Below are 16,581 nucleotides of genomic sequence, written 5' to 3'. Positions count from 1 at the left end.
TTTACTCTTTTTCTACTCTAGAGAAATCTGTTTTACTTTTTTTTTTAATATTTACTTTTTCATTGAGACAAGATCTCACCTTGTTTCCCAGGATGGTCTCAAACTCCTGAGATCAAGTGATGCTCCTGCCTCAGCCTCCTAAAGTGCTAGGGTTATAGGCGTGAGCCACCATGCCCAGCCGAGAAACTTGTTTTAAAACGGAATACATATATGTCCCTCAACAAGAAGATAAAAGCTTTCCTGAAAATCCTGGACCTCAATCTTTTGGGAGAGTGACTTTGGACTACTGCTTCAATTTCTCTAACGCTGGTCTATTGAAGTTCTTAATTTATTTTTGGATCAATCTGGTAATCGTCTTCAAAAATATTTCTATTTTGTTTAAGTTTTCAAATTCACAAGTTCCATCTTGTGGGGTCTGTCCATTTTGTTTGGCTTTTGAAAGAGTTAGGTTTGAATGAGAGGCAAAGACTGACTACAGCCAAACTGTCACAGCAACTAACAGTAATCAATATTCCAAGCTGACTGCTCCCTTCAACTTCTCTTCCCTGCCCTCAGTAGAATATGAGTTATTAAGGAGCTAGGCAGTCTTTATCCCCAACACTTTTTAAAATCACTCCACCACATGAACTTCTAACCTGTCCAAAAGATAAGGTATTCAGGTTCACAACAAATGGATTAATTCCCAAACCCTTTAAGTAAAACCTATTAGGTTTGGGCATAAAATGAACCAAGTAAAAGGGTACAAAGCAGCTCTGAAAGAAAAGTACCTGTAATAAGGAAGTTGCCGTGTTCCTCCAAAGGTTCACTGTATTTTCGGACCACATGATTTAAACCAAGGTCTAGCTCATAGAAAGTAAGTGTCTGCTGGGTATTAGCTGCTGCTTCCCCTGTTGGATCATTGTCTGCTTCCTACAGAGAATAGTGGCATAAAAACTAATCATCAGCATAAAATCGAAGATCTGGAAAGGACATCAGGACTCCAATTTACAAATGAGGAAACAGAAGTCCACAAATGTCTTCTTTTTTTTTTGGAGAGACAGGTTCTCACTATGTCACCCAGGCTGCAGTGCACAGAGGTATGATCTTTTTTTTTTTTTGAGACGGAGTTTTGCTCGTTGCCCAGGCTGGAGTGCAATGGCACGATCTCAGCTCACCACAACCTCCACCTCCCAGGTTCAAGTGATTCTCCTGCCTCAGCCTCCCGAGTTGCTGGGATTACAAGCATGTGCCACCACGCCTGGCTAATTTTGTATTTTTAGTAGAGATGGGGTTTCTCCATGTTGGTCAGGCTGGTCTCGAACTCCTGACCTCAGGTGATCTGCCCGCCTCGGCCTCCCAAACTTGGATTACAGGCGTGAGCCACTGTACACGACTGCAGTGGTACAATCTTATCTCACTGCAGCCTAGAATTCCTGGGCCTCAGGCTCCCAAGCAGCTAGGACTATAGGCACATGCCACCACACCTGGCTGACGCCAAATAGTTTGACAAAGTTTATGCTATAAGATAATGGCAGAGCTAGAACGAGAACTGCAATCTCCAAATTCTGGATCCAGGGAGCTCTCTACTAGAGGATACTGCCTTCCGTTAAAGGAAAACAATAGTATGTTCTGTGAAAAAATACCTTAAACATAGCTTCAAGTTTTTCATGAAGCTTTTCCCAATAAATATCTTGTTTCCATAGGGAGATTACTTAAATCAGAGAAAGACTATTAAATAGTTGCTTAACCTCTGAAGCATCCCAAAGAATTTCAGTAAGGCATTTGGAATATGAAGATCTGCTAGCAGGACAGAATTAAGATATGCATAAGGGGCTGGGCCTGGGTGAGGTGGCTCAGGCCTTATAATCCCAGCACTCTGGAAGGCTGAGGTGGGCCAATCACCTGGGGTCAGAAGACCAGCCTGGCCAACATAGTGAAACCCCATCTCTACTAAAAATACAAAAATTAGCTGGGCGTTGTGGCAGCACCTGTAGTCCCAGCTACTCAGGAGGCTGAGGCAGAGGTTGCAGCGAGCTGAGATTGTGCCACTGCACCCCAGCCTGGGCAACAGAGCAAGACTGTCTCAAAAAAAAGAAAAAAAGGTATGCACAAGGAAGAAAACGATCTTTTCGTTTTTTTTTGAGATGGAGTCTCACTCTGTCGCCCAGGCTGGAGTGCAGTGGCGAGATCTCGGCTCACTGCAAGCTCCACCTCCCGGGTTCACGCCATTCTCCTGCCTCAGCTTCCCGAGTAGCTGGACCACAGGCGCCCGCCACGATGCCCGGCTATTTTCTTTTTGTATTTTTAGTAGAGATGGGGTTTCACTGTGTTAGCCAGAATGGTCTCGATCTCCTGACCTCATGATCCGCCAGCCTTGCCTCCCAAAGTGCTGGGATTACAGGCGTGAGCCACCACGCCCGGCCGGAAAACAATCTTAAAAAAAAACACTGAGGTGACTGAAAGAAACGCAAAGAGACAGGGTCCCCATTACCTCATAATCCATTTCCAGACAAGCAAACATTGGATTTTCAAATCCGACATCTACTCCAACTACATGATACACTAAAGTGTTTGCTTTGTGGGCTTCCAGGGGAGATGAAATGGTAAGTCGGGCTGCAGCATCTCTGTTCAAAATATACACCAATTTCTGTTTCTCAATGGCACCTGTAGTTGAAGGAGATAAAACATACAAGATTCCCAGATAATGAGAAGAGAGACTTATAGAACAGCTAGAGTCACATCATGCTTTTCTTTTAATCATTATTAACAGCAGTAACTCTACAAGTATAAAAACTCAGGATTCTGTTTTCTATCATCAGAATAGCACTTTGGGAGGCTGAGGTGGGTGGATCACCTGAGGTCAGGAGTTCAAGACCAGCCTGACTAACACAGTAAAACCTTGTCTCTACTAAATACAAAAAATTAGCTAGGTGTGGTGGTGCATGCCTCTAATCCCAGCTACTTGGGAGGCTGGGGCAGGAGAATTGCTTGAACCTGAGACGCAAAGGTTGCAGTGAGCTGAGATCGCACCACTGCACTCCAGCCTGGGCAACAAGTGCGAAACTCTGCCTCATTTGAAAAAAAAAAAAAAAAAGAATAGACAATAGTGGAGCTGGGCACAGTGGCTCAAGTCTGTAATCCCAGCACTTTGGGAGGCCAAGACAGAAGGAAGGATTGCTTGAGCCCAGGAATTCAAGACCATCCTGGGCAGCATTGTGAGATCCCCATCTCTCTCTTATTTATTTATTTATTTATTTATTTATTTATTTATTTATTTATTTTTGAGATGCAGTCTCACTCTGTCGTCCGGGCTGGAGTGCAGTAGCGCTATCTCGGCTCACTGCAACCTTTGCCTCCCGGGTTCAAGCGATTCTCCTGCCCCAAGTAGCTGGGATTACAGGCACCCACCACCACACCCAGCTAATTTTTTGTATTTTTGGTAGAGACTGGGTTTCACCATGTTGGCCAGGCTGGTCTCAAACTCCTGACCTCAAGTGATCCTCCCACCTTGGCCTCCCAAAGTGCTGGGATTACAGGTGTGAGCCACCGCACCTGGCTGAGACCCCATCTCTTTTAAAGATAAATAGCCACCGTGCCCGGCTGAGACCCCCATCTCTTAAAAATAAATAAATAAATTTTTTTAAAGACAATGGCATCATTGTGGCCCCCTTCTTCCTAATACAGGTCTTAAATATCCCACTAACTAGTCAAAATTTTTTAATGAGTCCTACATTTAAGGATACTGAAAAACAGTAATTCATAAAATTATCATTAGCCTTATTCTCTGAAATAGATCTAACGATTTATGACTGCCCTCTAGAGGCCTGATCAGACACACAAAAATTTTCTTCAAGAATTTATCAGAGAAGAGACATGAATGTGAATCATCACTTCAGGCTGATGAAAGCAACGATATTCACTGTCTAATAACATAAGATCATTTCATTGTAGTCTTTTTGCCAAAGAAAAAGAAATTGAAAAACACCCATTTCCAACTAGATGGGAAGTAGAAAGGTGTGTTAAGATTTTTCCCATTGTTTTAAAAGAAAATGCAACTCTTTTAAAAAGGAAATGCAACTTTAAACCTAGAGTAAATCCAAACATGATGCCAAACCCACATAAGTAATTAATTGGCACTGGCACACCACCAAGAGCACAGCATTGTTATCCTAAACTAGGCATATACAGCAAGTAGAGTAAATCACTTACTAATCATAACGGCTCGCCCTTTGGGATCCACAGCTAAGAACTGGCCAGGAACGATGCGACGGCATCCACTCTTGCCAAAGGTTTCTTGGTGAATCTTCTCAAACATATTCTTAGATGGCTGGTATTCCAAAATAACAATTCGACCAGAGTCACTGCCAACTACAATGTAGTCTTTGGTGCCACCTGTCAGCCTAAAGGCCATGAGTGACCGGATAACACCGAATACTTCCACAGTGAGTAGGGTATGTACTTTGCCAGTGTTGGGGTCTGGGCGAAGCAGCTCCAAGATCTTCCCACGGGAAACAACAATTTCTTGTTGTTTGGTTCCTAGATCACCAAAAAATAAAGATCATAAACAACCAGAACCCAGCCTGGCCACCATGGTGAAACCCCGTCTCTACTAAAAATACAAAAATTAGCCAGGCGTGGTGGCACATGCCTGTAATCCCAGCTACTCGGGAGGCTAAGGCAGGAGAATCGCTTGAACCCAGGAGGTAGAGGTTGCTGTGAGCCAAGACTGTGCCACTGCACTCCGGCCTGGGCAACAGAGCAAAACTCCGTCTCAAAAAAAAATTAGTCAGGTGTGATGGCCTGTGCCTCTAGTCCCAGCTACGTGGGAGGACAGTTTGAACCCAGGAGTTCAGAGAATGTAGTGGGTTATAATCCTGCCATTGCACTCCATCCTGGGAAACGCAGCAAGATATCGTCTCTAAAAAAAAAAAAAAAAAAAAAAAAGGCCACGCACAGTGGCTCACACCTGTTATCCCAGCACTTTGGGAGGCTGAGGCAGGCAGATCACTTGAGGTCAGGAGTTTGAAACCAGCCTGGCCAACATGGTGGGATCCCATCTCTACTAAAAATACAAAAATTAGCCAGGTGTGGTGGCACGTGCCTATAATCCCAGCTACTCCAGAGGCTGACACAGGAGAATCGCTTGAACCTGGGAGACGGAGTTTGCAGTGAGCCGAGGTCGCACTACTGTACTCCAGCCTGGGCAACACAGCAAGACTACGTCTCAAAAAAAAAAAAAAAAAAAAGAAAACTTCTCCATCATTTTAGATAAAAAGGAAGACTGAATTGGAAAAGGAATTTGAAAGATAAAATTAGTATTAAAAATGTGCTTTCAGCAGGGCACAGTAGCTCATGCCTGTAATCCCAGCACTTTGGGAGGCTAAGGTGGGTGGATCACGAGGTCAGGAATTCGAGATCAGCCTGGCCAATATGGTGAAACCTCATCTCTACTAAAAATATGAAAAATTAGCCGGGCATGGTGGTGCACGCATGTAATCCCAGCTACTCAGGAGGCTGAGGCAGGAGAATCGCTTGAACCCAGGAGGCGGAGGTGGCAGTGAGCCAAGATCACACCACTGCGCTCCAGCCTGGGTGACAGAGCAGGACTCTGTTTCAAGGAAAAAACAAAAACAAAAACAAAACAAACAAAAAACAAAAACAAAACAAACAAAAAACAAAAACGTGCTTTCAAAAATTCTATCCAAACTCCAGCTGAGATTCATTGCATTACATAGTGAAGTCAGTCACAAATCTCCAAATTCCCATATACGTATTTCCTTAATCAAATGCAGCAAAGAATAACTAAATTACCCAAATGAAGACTCAAACCCGCAGGAAGAGCCATAATGAGGATCAGAGAAAATAACAACATGAAATATGAATGCTGTGTGGTCAGTTAGGCTGCCTCTCAGTACCACATTAAGTATTCAGTACCACATTAAGTATTCAGAGTTAAACCTCAACAAAATTATGTCTTACTCTACACAATCATGAACCTCCTGCATTACTTGGATTGACTCAAAAATGTTAAATCTGCAAATGGCAAGAAAAAGTTTTTATTTTATAAACATTAGTACCTCACTTTCAGTAACTTTGTATTTCCTAATCCAATATTTGAAATTTCACACAATTCAAACCTAGCCTTAATCCATCTTTACAAAAATATTCCCCACATGGTAAACGTAAGCAAATTATCTGTTTCTATGCAGACAGCACTCCCTACCTAAACTGCATTTTCCCTTTTCTCTCATACAAAAGTTCTATCTCTTCAAGCACCAAACCAAGGTCCAACCTTCCCTTTATTTAAATTACTCTCTGATAACCAGACAAACACCTTCAGACATTCTTTTTACCCAACCTGATGTCAAATTCAAGATCAAAGATCAGGTCTTACACATCTCAGTATGTCTTACAGCAATAGGCACACGACTTGGCACTAGGTAAGCAGCCAAGAAAAGTGTGCCCTGACAAGAATCATTACACAATTTGTGAACTAGGAAATGCATCTGAAATAGGTAACAGATAATGCACCAGAACTTAACACCTCATCTCATAATTTGAATTGTTTACATTTACCAACAACTGTTTTGTCATAAATGGAAAACATTTCCTGCACAAGAGACTAAGCAAGATATGTATTAATTCACTTAAAATTTCAAAAGATGGTAACGAGAGAACTTACCAGAAAAGTTTCCATGAATGGCAAAGCTGATGCCAGTGGCTCTCTGCAAGGTTAAGTTGTACAGAAACATGGCTGCAGGAAACCTGAGCCACCCAGACCTCCAGGCCTTGGTTACACCAACAGTACGGAGTCCAAGAAAGCTAAGAAAACAGAAAACAGAAAAATAGCTGGGAGACTATTACTTCAACAGACATTTCTGTATGGGAAATTCTGGATGAAGACAGCAGAACCAGCAGAGCAAGCCCTATTAAGAAACAACATATGTGACCGGGCGTGGTGGCTCACGAGGTCAGGAGTTCGAGACCAGCTTGGGCAACACAGTGAAACCCCGTCTCTACTAAAAATACAAAAATTAGCTGGGCATGGTGCTGTGCGCCTGTAGTCCCAGCTACTCGGGAGGCTGAGGCAGGAGAATCGCTTGAACCTGGGAGGCGGAGGTTGTGGTGAGCCAACATCATGCCACTGCACTCCAGGCTGGGCGACAGAATGAGACCTCATCTCAAAAAAAAAAATAAATAAATAAAAAGCACGGGACCTTGAGAAATCCAAGGTCATTAGTATAGAATTAACATACATATTTGATTTTATTGTTAAACGAGAAGAGAGAATTATGAGTAAACGTCCTCATAAATAACTTTCTGGGCTGAGCAAAAGCAGGGTGGCAAGATCAATGCTCCAGGCTAGAAATGGGTCCTGAGAGATATAAAATTTTCTACTTGAGACTAAGGTATATCTTTTTTTTTTCCTTTTTTTTTTTTTTTTTTTTTTTGAGGCGTCTCAATCTGTCGCCCAGGCTGGAGTGCAGTGGCGCCATCTTGGCTTACTGCAAGCTCCGCCTCCTGGGTTCACACCATTCTCCTGCCTCAGGCTCCCGAGTAGCTGGGACAACAGGCGCCCGCCACCACACCCGGCTAATTTTTTGTATTTTTAGTGGGGTTTCACCATGTTAGCCAGGATGGTCTCGATCTCCTGACTTCGTGATCCGCCCGCCTCCGCCTCCCAAAGTGCTAGGATTACAGGCGTTGAGCCACCGCGCCCAGCCCATAGACTAAGGTATATGTTTAACGTTCTAGGACCACAGTAAAACATGAACGAAAAGGACCGATGTTGAAAGACCAGGGAGTGGAGAAACAACAAAAAAAGCAAAAGAGAGGAAGCTAGGAGCTGCTTCTGAATCCCTGAACAGCTCCCCGCAAGTTACTTTTCATATTTTGTAGCTGATCAAAACAGTCTACTTTCCCCTTTCCTTATAACTGATACAATCCATTACAAACCTTTGGAATTCATTTTTTCCCAAATCTAGTTGGATTCAGGTTCTCCAGCGACACCTTAACTTTGGATCGTGGAGGAAGGTGCATTTCGGAGGATCAGTCCAGTACTAGAAAAACTATATACGAGGCCAGGCGCAGTGGTGGCTCACGCCTGTAATCCCAGCACTTTGGGAGGCCGAGGCAAATGGGTCACTTGAGGTCAGGAATTGAGACCAGCCTGGCCAACACAGTGAAAACCCCTCTACTAAAAATGCAAAAACTAGCCGGGCGCGGTGGCACACGCCTTTAATCTCAGCTACTCGGGAAGCTGAGGCGTGAGAATAGCTAGAACCAAGGAGGAGGAGGCTGCAGTAAGCCGAGATCAAGCCGCTGCGCTCCAGCCTGGGCGACAGCGAGACTTCGTCTCAAAAACAAAACAAACAAACAAAAAATACATACCAGATAAATTTGGTAAGCTTTAAAACTTCCCCCACGTCTGGGCCGGGCGCGGTGTCTCACACCTGTAATCCCAACACTTTGGGAGGCCAAGGCGGGTGGATCAAGGTCAGGAGATCGAGACCATCCTGGCTAACACAGTGAAACCCCGTCTCTACTAAAAATACAAAAAATTAGCTGGGCGCGGTGGCGGGCGCCTGTAGTTCCAGCTACTCGTGAGGCTGAGGCAGGAGAATGGCGTGAACCCGGAAAGCGGAGCTTGCAGTGAGCAGAGATCGCGCCACTGCACTCCAGCCTGGGCGACAAAGCGAGACACCGTCTCAAAAAAAGAAAAATTAGCCGGGCGTGGTGGCACGCGCCCGTAATCCCAGCTAGTCTACTCGGGAGGCTGAGGTAAGAGAATCGCTGGAACCCGGGAGGCAGAGATGGCAGTGAGCCGAGATCGCGCCACTGCTCTCCAGTCTGGGCGACAGACTGTGACTCCGTCACAAAAACAAAACAAAACAAAACAAAAAAAACTTCCCCCACGTCTGTTTACCATTATTACAAAAAGCTTGTATGATTGCTCACTGCATCTTCTCCATCCTCCAAGGAAACATCATCGCATTTAAACTCTGTCCTCCATTACGCAAACGAGAAAATAGAGGTTCAGAGGAGGAGACAAGTTGCCCAACTACCAAAATACAAATTCAAACCGGAGTCTTGGCTCTAAAGACTGTTTCCGTTATTTACGCTTTTAACACGCTCCATCTTTCTATCTTCCCCTCGGTGTACCATTTACTCTACCCAGAGGGAGACATCCATGCCTCCCGCTGCTTGTCACACCTCCCCCGTCTCAGAGTCCCCAGAAGTTAAAAGCAATCTCCACGAGCCCTATTTTGAGATAGAATATGTTCCCACACTGTGGATGGAAGCGAGAGATAACTGCAGGAAGCCGTTTTGGCGCCTCAACCATCCCTCGGTACCTCCTCCTGGTCCCCAGCCTCTCGGGCCTAGACTGCCCGTGACCCCCGCCAAAGTCTCGGGTCCCCCTTCCATATGGCCGGTCTCCGCCTCCCCGGGCCCGGGGAAGTCTCCAGGCTGTTTTTTTACCCTGCAGCGAGAAGGATGGTGTGGATATCCAACGGATGCTACCTCCCTTCAAAACTTAAGCCACCACCAACTCCAACATACTGGCGTCCGCCATTAGACCTCAAGACAGGGACATTCTGGTGGCGCGCGGCGGAAAAAGGCACCCAATCCGCGCCTGAAGAATATATATAATTTTTAAAAAATGCTTCCGTCTTGCTTCCACACGGCATTACAAATTATTTAAACATGCTTTATTGCTTTGCTTTTTCCAGGAGAATAGAAAATTAATACGTTTTTAGAAGTAGACTTTAAAAAAAAAAAACCATTAGAGTTCATTGGGCACTTCTGTGGGCAGCCCCAAATAGGCGCCAACGAAGAGGGGGCCTCGCGGGACCGGAAGTGCCGAATGGGGACCAAGATGGCGGACCTTGATTCGCCTCCGAAGCTGTCAGGGGTGCAGCAGCCGTCTGAGGGGGTGGGAGGTGGCCGCTGCTCCGAAATCTCCGCTGAGCTCATTCGCTCCCTGACAGAGCTGCAGGAGCTGGAGGCTGTATACGAACGGCTCTGCGGCGAGGAGGTGCGGGGTCGAGCCTCTTCTTTTTCATGGAGGATCTAGGGAGAGTGGGAGCCTTCAGTCGGGAAATCCGGGCTGTGGGAAACTCTCCTTGCTGGGGGATACAAAAAAGCGGGAAAACAAAGAAGCGGAAGCTAGTCGGGTATATGAGTAGTCCTGTCAACTCTTTTCACGCTGTCGGACGCGCCGAGCTTGTCTTCCCTGATACCTGGGCGATCTGCAGCCTCTCCTCCCTAGACCCCCGTTGATTTCCCTGATCCATGATCACCAGTTTCTCCACGGGAGTAAAGTTAGTCTGAGAGTATTTGCCAAATTGCTTGGTTCTCAAAATAATAAGCGCCCTTTTGCATTGGCTTAATTTACAAATTATGAAACGCTCTCATCCTGTTATTTAAGAGGGAAGCCTTTGCAGATTAACTTCTTGAAGCGTTTTAAGACTTCCTCTTGTGGGGAGTGATTTGGGGGTGTGATTTTAGCGTTTTGGTCAAATGCACATCTTTGTAGAGGTTTAGCTTTTAAGACTCAGACACAATTCTCTAATCTTGGACAAGTCACTTCATCTCTGGTACCCTTGATATTTTATCAAATGAGGGGTGTGGACTATTCTCCAATTCCTTTCAGTTCATAACGTTCTATTTCCTGCCTCCTTTAATTTTCAGTGGCAACTCGATGCTGTCAATTCACTTTCGAATGTCAGTTGGGTTCCTTGCTAGTCAAAAGAGATCTAAGCTCTAAGCTTGTCAGCTGTTTCCCAGACCAAACTTCTAGCAAAGTTGAGCACAAAAGGCAGTTTCAGCCTGAGGGAGAGGTGATCGTTGATATCTTTGAGTATTTTCAAGTATAAACTTGCACTAACTCTAGCAGTTTCTGATACGTTTTTCAGCAAGATGTGTGTGGTGTTTTTTGTTTTGTTTTGTTATTTTTAGAAACAGGGCCGCTCTCTGTTGCGCAGGCTGGAGTGCTGTTGTGCTGCAATCAGAATGGATGAAACCAGAGGCGCACACCACCGTGCCTGGCTAGTTTAGTGTGTGGGGCTTTTTTTGTCTGGCCTCAGCAAGATGTGTTTTAAAATTTAGTATCTTGCGGGGCGCGGTGGCTCACGCCTGCCATCCCAGCACTTTGGGAGGCCAAGACGGGAGGATCACCTGAGTCAGGAGTTCGAGACCAGCATGACCAAAATGGTGAAAACCATCACTACTAAAAATACAAAACTAGCCGGGTGTGGTGACGCATGCCTGTAATCCCAGCTACTCGGGAGGCTGAGGCAGGAGAATTGCTTGAACCTGGGAGGCGGAGGTTGCAGTGAACCAAGATAGCGCCATTACACTCTAGCCTGGGCAACAAGAGCAAAATTGTGTCTCTTAAAAAAAAAAAAAGCCTGGCGCGGTGGCTCACTCCTGTAACCCCAGCACTTTGGGAGGCTGAGGCAGATGGATCACGAGGTCAGGAAATCGAGACCATCCTGGCTAACACAGTGAAACCCCGTCTCTACTAAAAATACAAAAAATTAGCCGGGCGTGGTGGCGGGCGCCTGTAGTCCCAGCTACTCGGGAGGCTGAGGCAGGAGAATGGCGTGAACCAGGGAGAAGGAGCTTGCAGTGAGCCGAGATCGCACCACTGCACTCCAGCCTCGGCGACAGAGTGAGACTCTGTCTCAAAAAAAAAAAAAAAAAAAATTTAGTATCTTGACTTAACATTCCTAAGCTCGCATTCATTCAGTCATTTAATATGTTGGGTGGAAAATTATGGAAATCTTACAGACAAAATGATATAAGTACTGTATTTGTATTCCATGACTGTCAAGAGGACGTTTTCCTCTGGAACCTACAGAACGATTTTAATAAAAATGTATATGGCCGGGCTTGGTGTCTCATGCCTGTAATACCAGCAGTTTGGGAGGCCGAGGCGGGTGGATCACCCGAGGTCAGGAGTTCGAGACCAACCTGGCCAACGTGGCGAAACCATGTTAGTCTCTACTAAAAATGCAAAAGTTAGCCGGGTGTGATGGTGGGCGTCTATAATCCCAGCTAATTGGGAGGCAGAGGCATGAAAATCGCTTGAACCCCAGGGCAGGGAGGTTGCAGTGAGCCAAGATCAGGCCACTTCACTCCAGCCTGGGTGAAAGAGCGAAACTCGTCTCAAAAAAAAAAAAAAGTATAGCTGCCTGGGCACAAGTGGCTCATGCCTCTAATCGCAGTTCTTTGGGAGGCTGAGATGGGCAGATAGCTTGAGCTATAGTTGGAGACCAGCCTGGGCAATAGCAGATAGTTGGGGACCAGCCTGGGCAATATAGTGAGACCTCGTGGCTACAAAAAAATTAAACAGTGGACCAGGGTTGTGCACGCCTATAGTCACAGATATTTGGGGGGCTGGGGTAGGAAGAGCACTTGAGCCCCCGCAAAAAATAAAAATGTATGGTTAATTTTAATGGCTGTTGTTGAACTATATGCCACATACCATGTTAAGCACTTTGTGTGGTTTCCTGTTTGACTCATTCAACAGCCCAGTGAGATTGGTATTGCTATCCTAGTTTTACAGATGAAAAAACCGAAGCATAAAAATGTTACATAAATTGAGGTTGCACAATAAATGGCTTGAATGAGAGATAATTATATTTATAACCCCTGGCTACTGACTATGCACCAAGAAGAAAAATTTTGGTAACTGTCACTGGAAATTTCATTTCAGCAAGATGTGTGTGGTGTTTTTTGTTTAGGCATTGTATTTTCTTTTTTTTTTTTTTGAGACAGCGTTTCACTCTTGTTACCCAGGTTGGAGTGAAATGGCACGATCTCGGCTCACTGCAACCTCCACTTCCCGGGTTCAAGTGATTCTCCTACCTCAGCCTCCTGTGTAGCTGGGATTACAGGCCCCCGCCACCACACCCAGCTAATTTTGTTTTTTGTTTTTTGTTTTTGAGACGGAGTCTCACTTTGTTGCCCAAGCTGGAGTGCAGTGGCATGATCTCGGCTCACTGCAAGCTCCGCCCCCCCCCCCCCCCACCCCCCGGGTTCATGTCATTCTCCTGCCTCAGCCTCCTGAGCAGCTTGGGCTACAGGCGCCCGCCACCACACCCGGCTAATTTTTTGTATTTTTATATTTTTAGTAGAGACAGGGTTTCACCGTGTTATCCAGGATGGTTTCGATCTCCTGACCTCGTGATCCGCCTGCCTTGGCCTCCCAAAGTGCTGGGATTACCGACGTAAGCCGCCGCGCCCAGCCTAATTTTGTATTTTTAGTAGAGATGGGGTTTCACCATGTGGCCAGGCTGGTCATGAACTCCTGACCTCAGGTGATCCACCCACCTGGGCCTCCCAAAGAGCTGGGATTACTTTGGGATCCAGTGCTGGCCAGGCATTGTATTTTAAATGCCTTCCTGTATTAGGCACTATGCTAATGATACTGATTAAAAGTTTATTTCTTCCTATTATGGTGCTCATCTGCCAGGTGGAATAAGATATACGTAAGATAACAATCATGCAACATAAGTGCAAAATGAAGCATTGTTAAAGTCTAAGGAGAACATAGTGGAAGGAAAAAAGGACTTGGAAATGAGATTCACCCTTCAGCTAAGTGATTGGATTAGATAACTCTTAAGGTTCCTTCTGATCATTCTGCTGACAGGATGTTTCTCTGTGTTTCAGAAAGTGGTGGAGAGAGAGCTGGATGCTCTTTTGGAACAGCAAAACACCATTGAAAGTAAGATGGTCACTCTCCACCGAATGGGGTGAGTCTGTGCATCTCAGCAAGAGCTAATGTAAATTCCAACAGGGTCAATTGGACAAGTGACCATTTTTTAAACTTTCTGTTATAAACACCAGTTCAGCTTGAAATGTAAAGGGTATTATCTCAAGATAAAGTGAACACCTAAGGGTATTAGTTTGATGGTTTTCAAACAGTCCTTGGACCAGTTGTACCAGCATCACACCTTGTTAGAAATGCAAATCCTGGCCGGGCGCGGTGGCTCACGCCTGTAATCCCAGCACTTTGGGAGGCCGAGGCGGGCGGATCATGAGGTCAGGAGATCGAGACCATCCTGGCTAACAAGGTGAAACCCCGTCTCTACTAAAAATACAAAAAATTAGCCGGGCGCGGTGGCGGGCGCCTGTAGTCCCAGCTACTCGGGAGGCTGAGGCAGGAGAATGGCGTGAACCCGGGGAAGCGGAGCTTGCAATGAGCCGAGATTGCGCCACTGCAGTCCGCAGTCTGGCCTGGGCAACAGAGCGAGACTCCGTCTCAAAAAAAAAAAAAAAAAGAAATGCAAATCCTAGGGCCCCACTCCAAACTTACAAAATCAGAAAGTCTAGGGGTGGGGTCCAGGAAGATGTGTTTTGACAAGCCTACCAAGTGATTCTAATGCACAGCTCAAGTTTGAGAACCACCTTTTTTTTTTTTTTTGAGATGGAGCTTCGTTTTTGTCCCCCAGGCTGGAGTGCAGTGGCATGATCTCGGCTCACTGCAACCTCTGCCTCCCAGGTTCAAGCGATTCTCCTGCCTCAGCCTCTCGAGTAGCTGGGATTCCAGGCATGTGCCACCACGCCCAGCTAATTTTTGTATTTTTAGTAGAGACAGGGTTTCACCATGTTGGCCAGGCTGGTCTCAAACTCCTGACCTCAAGTGATCCGCCCGCCTGGCCTCCCAAAGTGTTAGTATTACAGGAGTAAGCCACCATGCCCGGCCGAGAACCACCATTTTTACAGACTGGGTATATTTGTTAGTCATAAAAATTGTTCCCTGGCTGCGTGTAGTGGCTCATGCTTGTAATTCCAGCACTGTGGGAGGCCTCATCTAGAGGATCACTTTTGACCCTGTCTCAAAAACAAAAAAATAAAAATAAATAAATAAATAAATTAGTTGGGCATGGTGGTGTGCGCCTGTAGTCTCAGCTACTCAGGAGGCTAAGACAGGAGGATCATTTGAGCCCAGAAGTTGGAAACTGCAGTGAGCTATGATCGTGCCACTGCATTCTAGCCTGAGTGGCAGAGTGAGAACCTGTCTCAAACAAAAACAAAAATTGTTCCTTGATCTCACCATCCTCTCACATGGTACTGGTTAGTGCATCTTATGCTCACTTAGCAATTGAGAGAATTTGTTCTCTAGTTCTTTGACTGTACCTATTTAGGTGTGTCTTTATTGGTTTTAGAAGTTAATTTTGGCCAGGCGCAGTAGCTCACGCCTATAATCCCAGCACTTTGGGAGGCTGAATCACAAGGTCAAGAGTTCAAGACCATCTCCTGGCCAACGTGGTGAAACCCCGTCTCTACTACAAATACAAAAATTATCTGGGCTTGGTGGCACGCGCCTGTAGTCCCAGCTACTCAGGAGGCTGAGGCAGGAGAATCGCTTGAACCCGGGAGGCGGAGGTTGCAGTGAGCTGAGATTGCGCCAGTGCACTCCAGCCTGGCGACAAAGCAAGACTCCGTCTCAAAAAAAAAAAAGAGTTAATTTTTTATCAGGTATAGGTCTGAGTTTACAGTCAAACGTTCTTGAGAAAAAGCTGAGTATAGAGCAAACTGAGCTAAGAGTTACAGGTAGGTATGAAAGAAGTAGAAGACATAGTGTCCATATGCAAAAAAAAGTTTCTGTCTCTTCTCTGCCCTATCGTTATGTGTATGCTAACAATGTATTTCTCCAGTCCTAATCTGCAGCTGATTGAGGGAGATGCAAAGCAGCTGGCTGGAATGATCACCTTTACCTGCAACCTGGCTGAGAATGTGTCCAGCAAAGTTCGTCAGCTTGACCTGGCCAAGGTAATACATCAAGCTTTTTTTTTTTTTTTTTTTTTTTTGAGACAGGGTCTTGCTCTGTCACCTAGGCTGGAGTACAGTGGTACAATGACAGCTCACTACAGCCCCAACTCCCTGGGCTCAAGCAATTCTCCCACCTCAGCCTCCTGAGGAGCTAGGACTACGGGCATCCACCACTATGCCCAGCTAGTTTTTGTATTTTTTGTAGAGATGGGGTTTTGCCATGTTCCCCGGGCTGGTCCTGAACTCCTGGGCTCAAGTTATCCTTCCACCTTTCGCCATGTTAGCCAGGCTGGCCTCAAACTCCTGACCTCAGGTGATCTGCCCGCCTCGGCCTCCCAACATGCTGGGATTACAGGTGTGAACCACCTTGCCTGGCCAATAGCTTCTTTACTGCCCTCTACTAACTACAACATCAAAATGTCTATGGGGCTTTGCGTGGTGACTAACACCTACAATCCCATCACTTTAGGAGGCCAGAACAGGAGGATTGCTTGAGCCCAGAAGTTCAAAACCAGCCTGGGCAACATGGGAAAACCCCATCTCTACAAAAAATACAAAAATTAGCTGGACATGGTGGTGCACACCTGTATCCCAGCACTTTGGGAGACTGAGGCAGGCTAATTGCTTGAGTCCAGGAGTTTGAGACCAGCCTAGGCAACATGGCGAAGCCGTGTCTCTACTAAAAAATACAAAAATTAGCCAGGTGTGGTAATGCACACCTGTAATTCCAGCTACTTGGGAGGCTAAGGCAGGAGGATCGCTTAACCCCAAGAGGCAGAGATTGCAGTGAGCCAAGGTCATGCCACTGTACTCCAGCCT

At 45.8% G+C, this 16,581-nt stretch overlaps 2 protein-coding genes and 1 non-coding gene across 6 annotated transcripts in view, besides 2 other annotated features; 1 reads left to right on the top strand and 2 right to left on the bottom strand.

Annotated features, from left to right (window-relative positions):
* SF3B3 (splicing factor 3b subunit 3) overlaps positions 1-9,572 on the bottom strand; it is a 53,853-nt gene extending 44,281 nt beyond the window's left edge. The window contains exons 1-5 of the mRNA NM_012426.5: positions 9,460-9,572; positions 6,662-6,801; positions 4,189-4,515; positions 2,471-2,643; positions 768-909 (exon numbers count right to left, since the gene is read on the bottom strand). Of these exons, the coding sequence (NP_036558.3) occupies positions 768-909; positions 2,471-2,643; positions 4,189-4,515; positions 6,662-6,731 (712 nt within the window). The 5' untranslated portion in view covers positions 6,732-6,801; positions 9,460-9,572. The remainder of the gene's footprint in view (positions 1-767; positions 910-2,470; positions 2,644-4,188; positions 4,516-6,661; positions 6,802-9,459) is intronic.
* On the bottom strand, positions 3,789-3,889 carry SNORD111B (small nucleolar RNA, C/D box 111B). The gene has a single exon (NR_037420.1). It is a non-coding gene; the product is annotated as a small nucleolar RNA, C/D box 111B (small nucleolar RNA).
* Positions 8,291-9,028: an enhancer, noted in NCBI's record as "H3K27ac hESC enhancer chr16:70558263-70559000 (GRCh37/hg19 assembly coordinates)". NCBI's record gives its function as "activates a minimal SCP1, AML or CMV promoter by ChIP-STARR-seq in naive H9 embryonic stem cells {active_cell/tissue: H9 hESC(naive)}" and the evidence as "EXISTENCE:reporter gene assay evidence [ECO:0000049][PMID:30033119]".
* The window catches only part of COG4 (component of oligomeric golgi complex 4), a 42,988-nt gene continuing 36,240 nt past the window's right edge, over positions 9,834-16,581 (top strand). For all 4 annotated transcript variants that reach the window (NR_158212.1, NM_001195139.2, NM_001365426.1 and 1 more), the window contains exons 1-3: positions 9,834-10,015; positions 13,657-13,739; positions 15,648-15,762. Coding sequence is in view for 2 of the 4 variants with exons in the window: in NM_015386.3 (NP_056201.2) it covers positions 9,845-10,015; positions 13,657-13,739; positions 15,648-15,762 (369 nt within the window). In the remaining 2 variants the exon portion in view is untranslated. The remainder of the gene's footprint in view (positions 10,016-13,656; positions 13,740-15,647; positions 15,763-16,581) is intronic.
* Positions 10,062-10,201: an enhancer, noted in NCBI's record as "active region_11066". NCBI's record gives its function as "activates an Ori minimal core promoter by ATAC-STARR-seq in GM12878 lymphoblastoid cells {active_cell/tissue: GM12878}" and the evidence as "EXISTENCE:reporter gene assay evidence [ECO:0000049][PMID:35858748]".

Source organism: Homo sapiens, chromosome 16, assembly GCF_000001405.40.
Source record: "Homo sapiens chromosome 16, GRCh38.p14 Primary Assembly".
Taxonomy (NCBI): domain Eukaryota; kingdom Metazoa; phylum Chordata; class Mammalia; order Primates; family Hominidae; genus Homo; species Homo sapiens.
The sequence above is the reverse complement of the archived record's forward strand: the minus strand, read 5'-3'. Positions and strand labels throughout refer to the sequence as shown.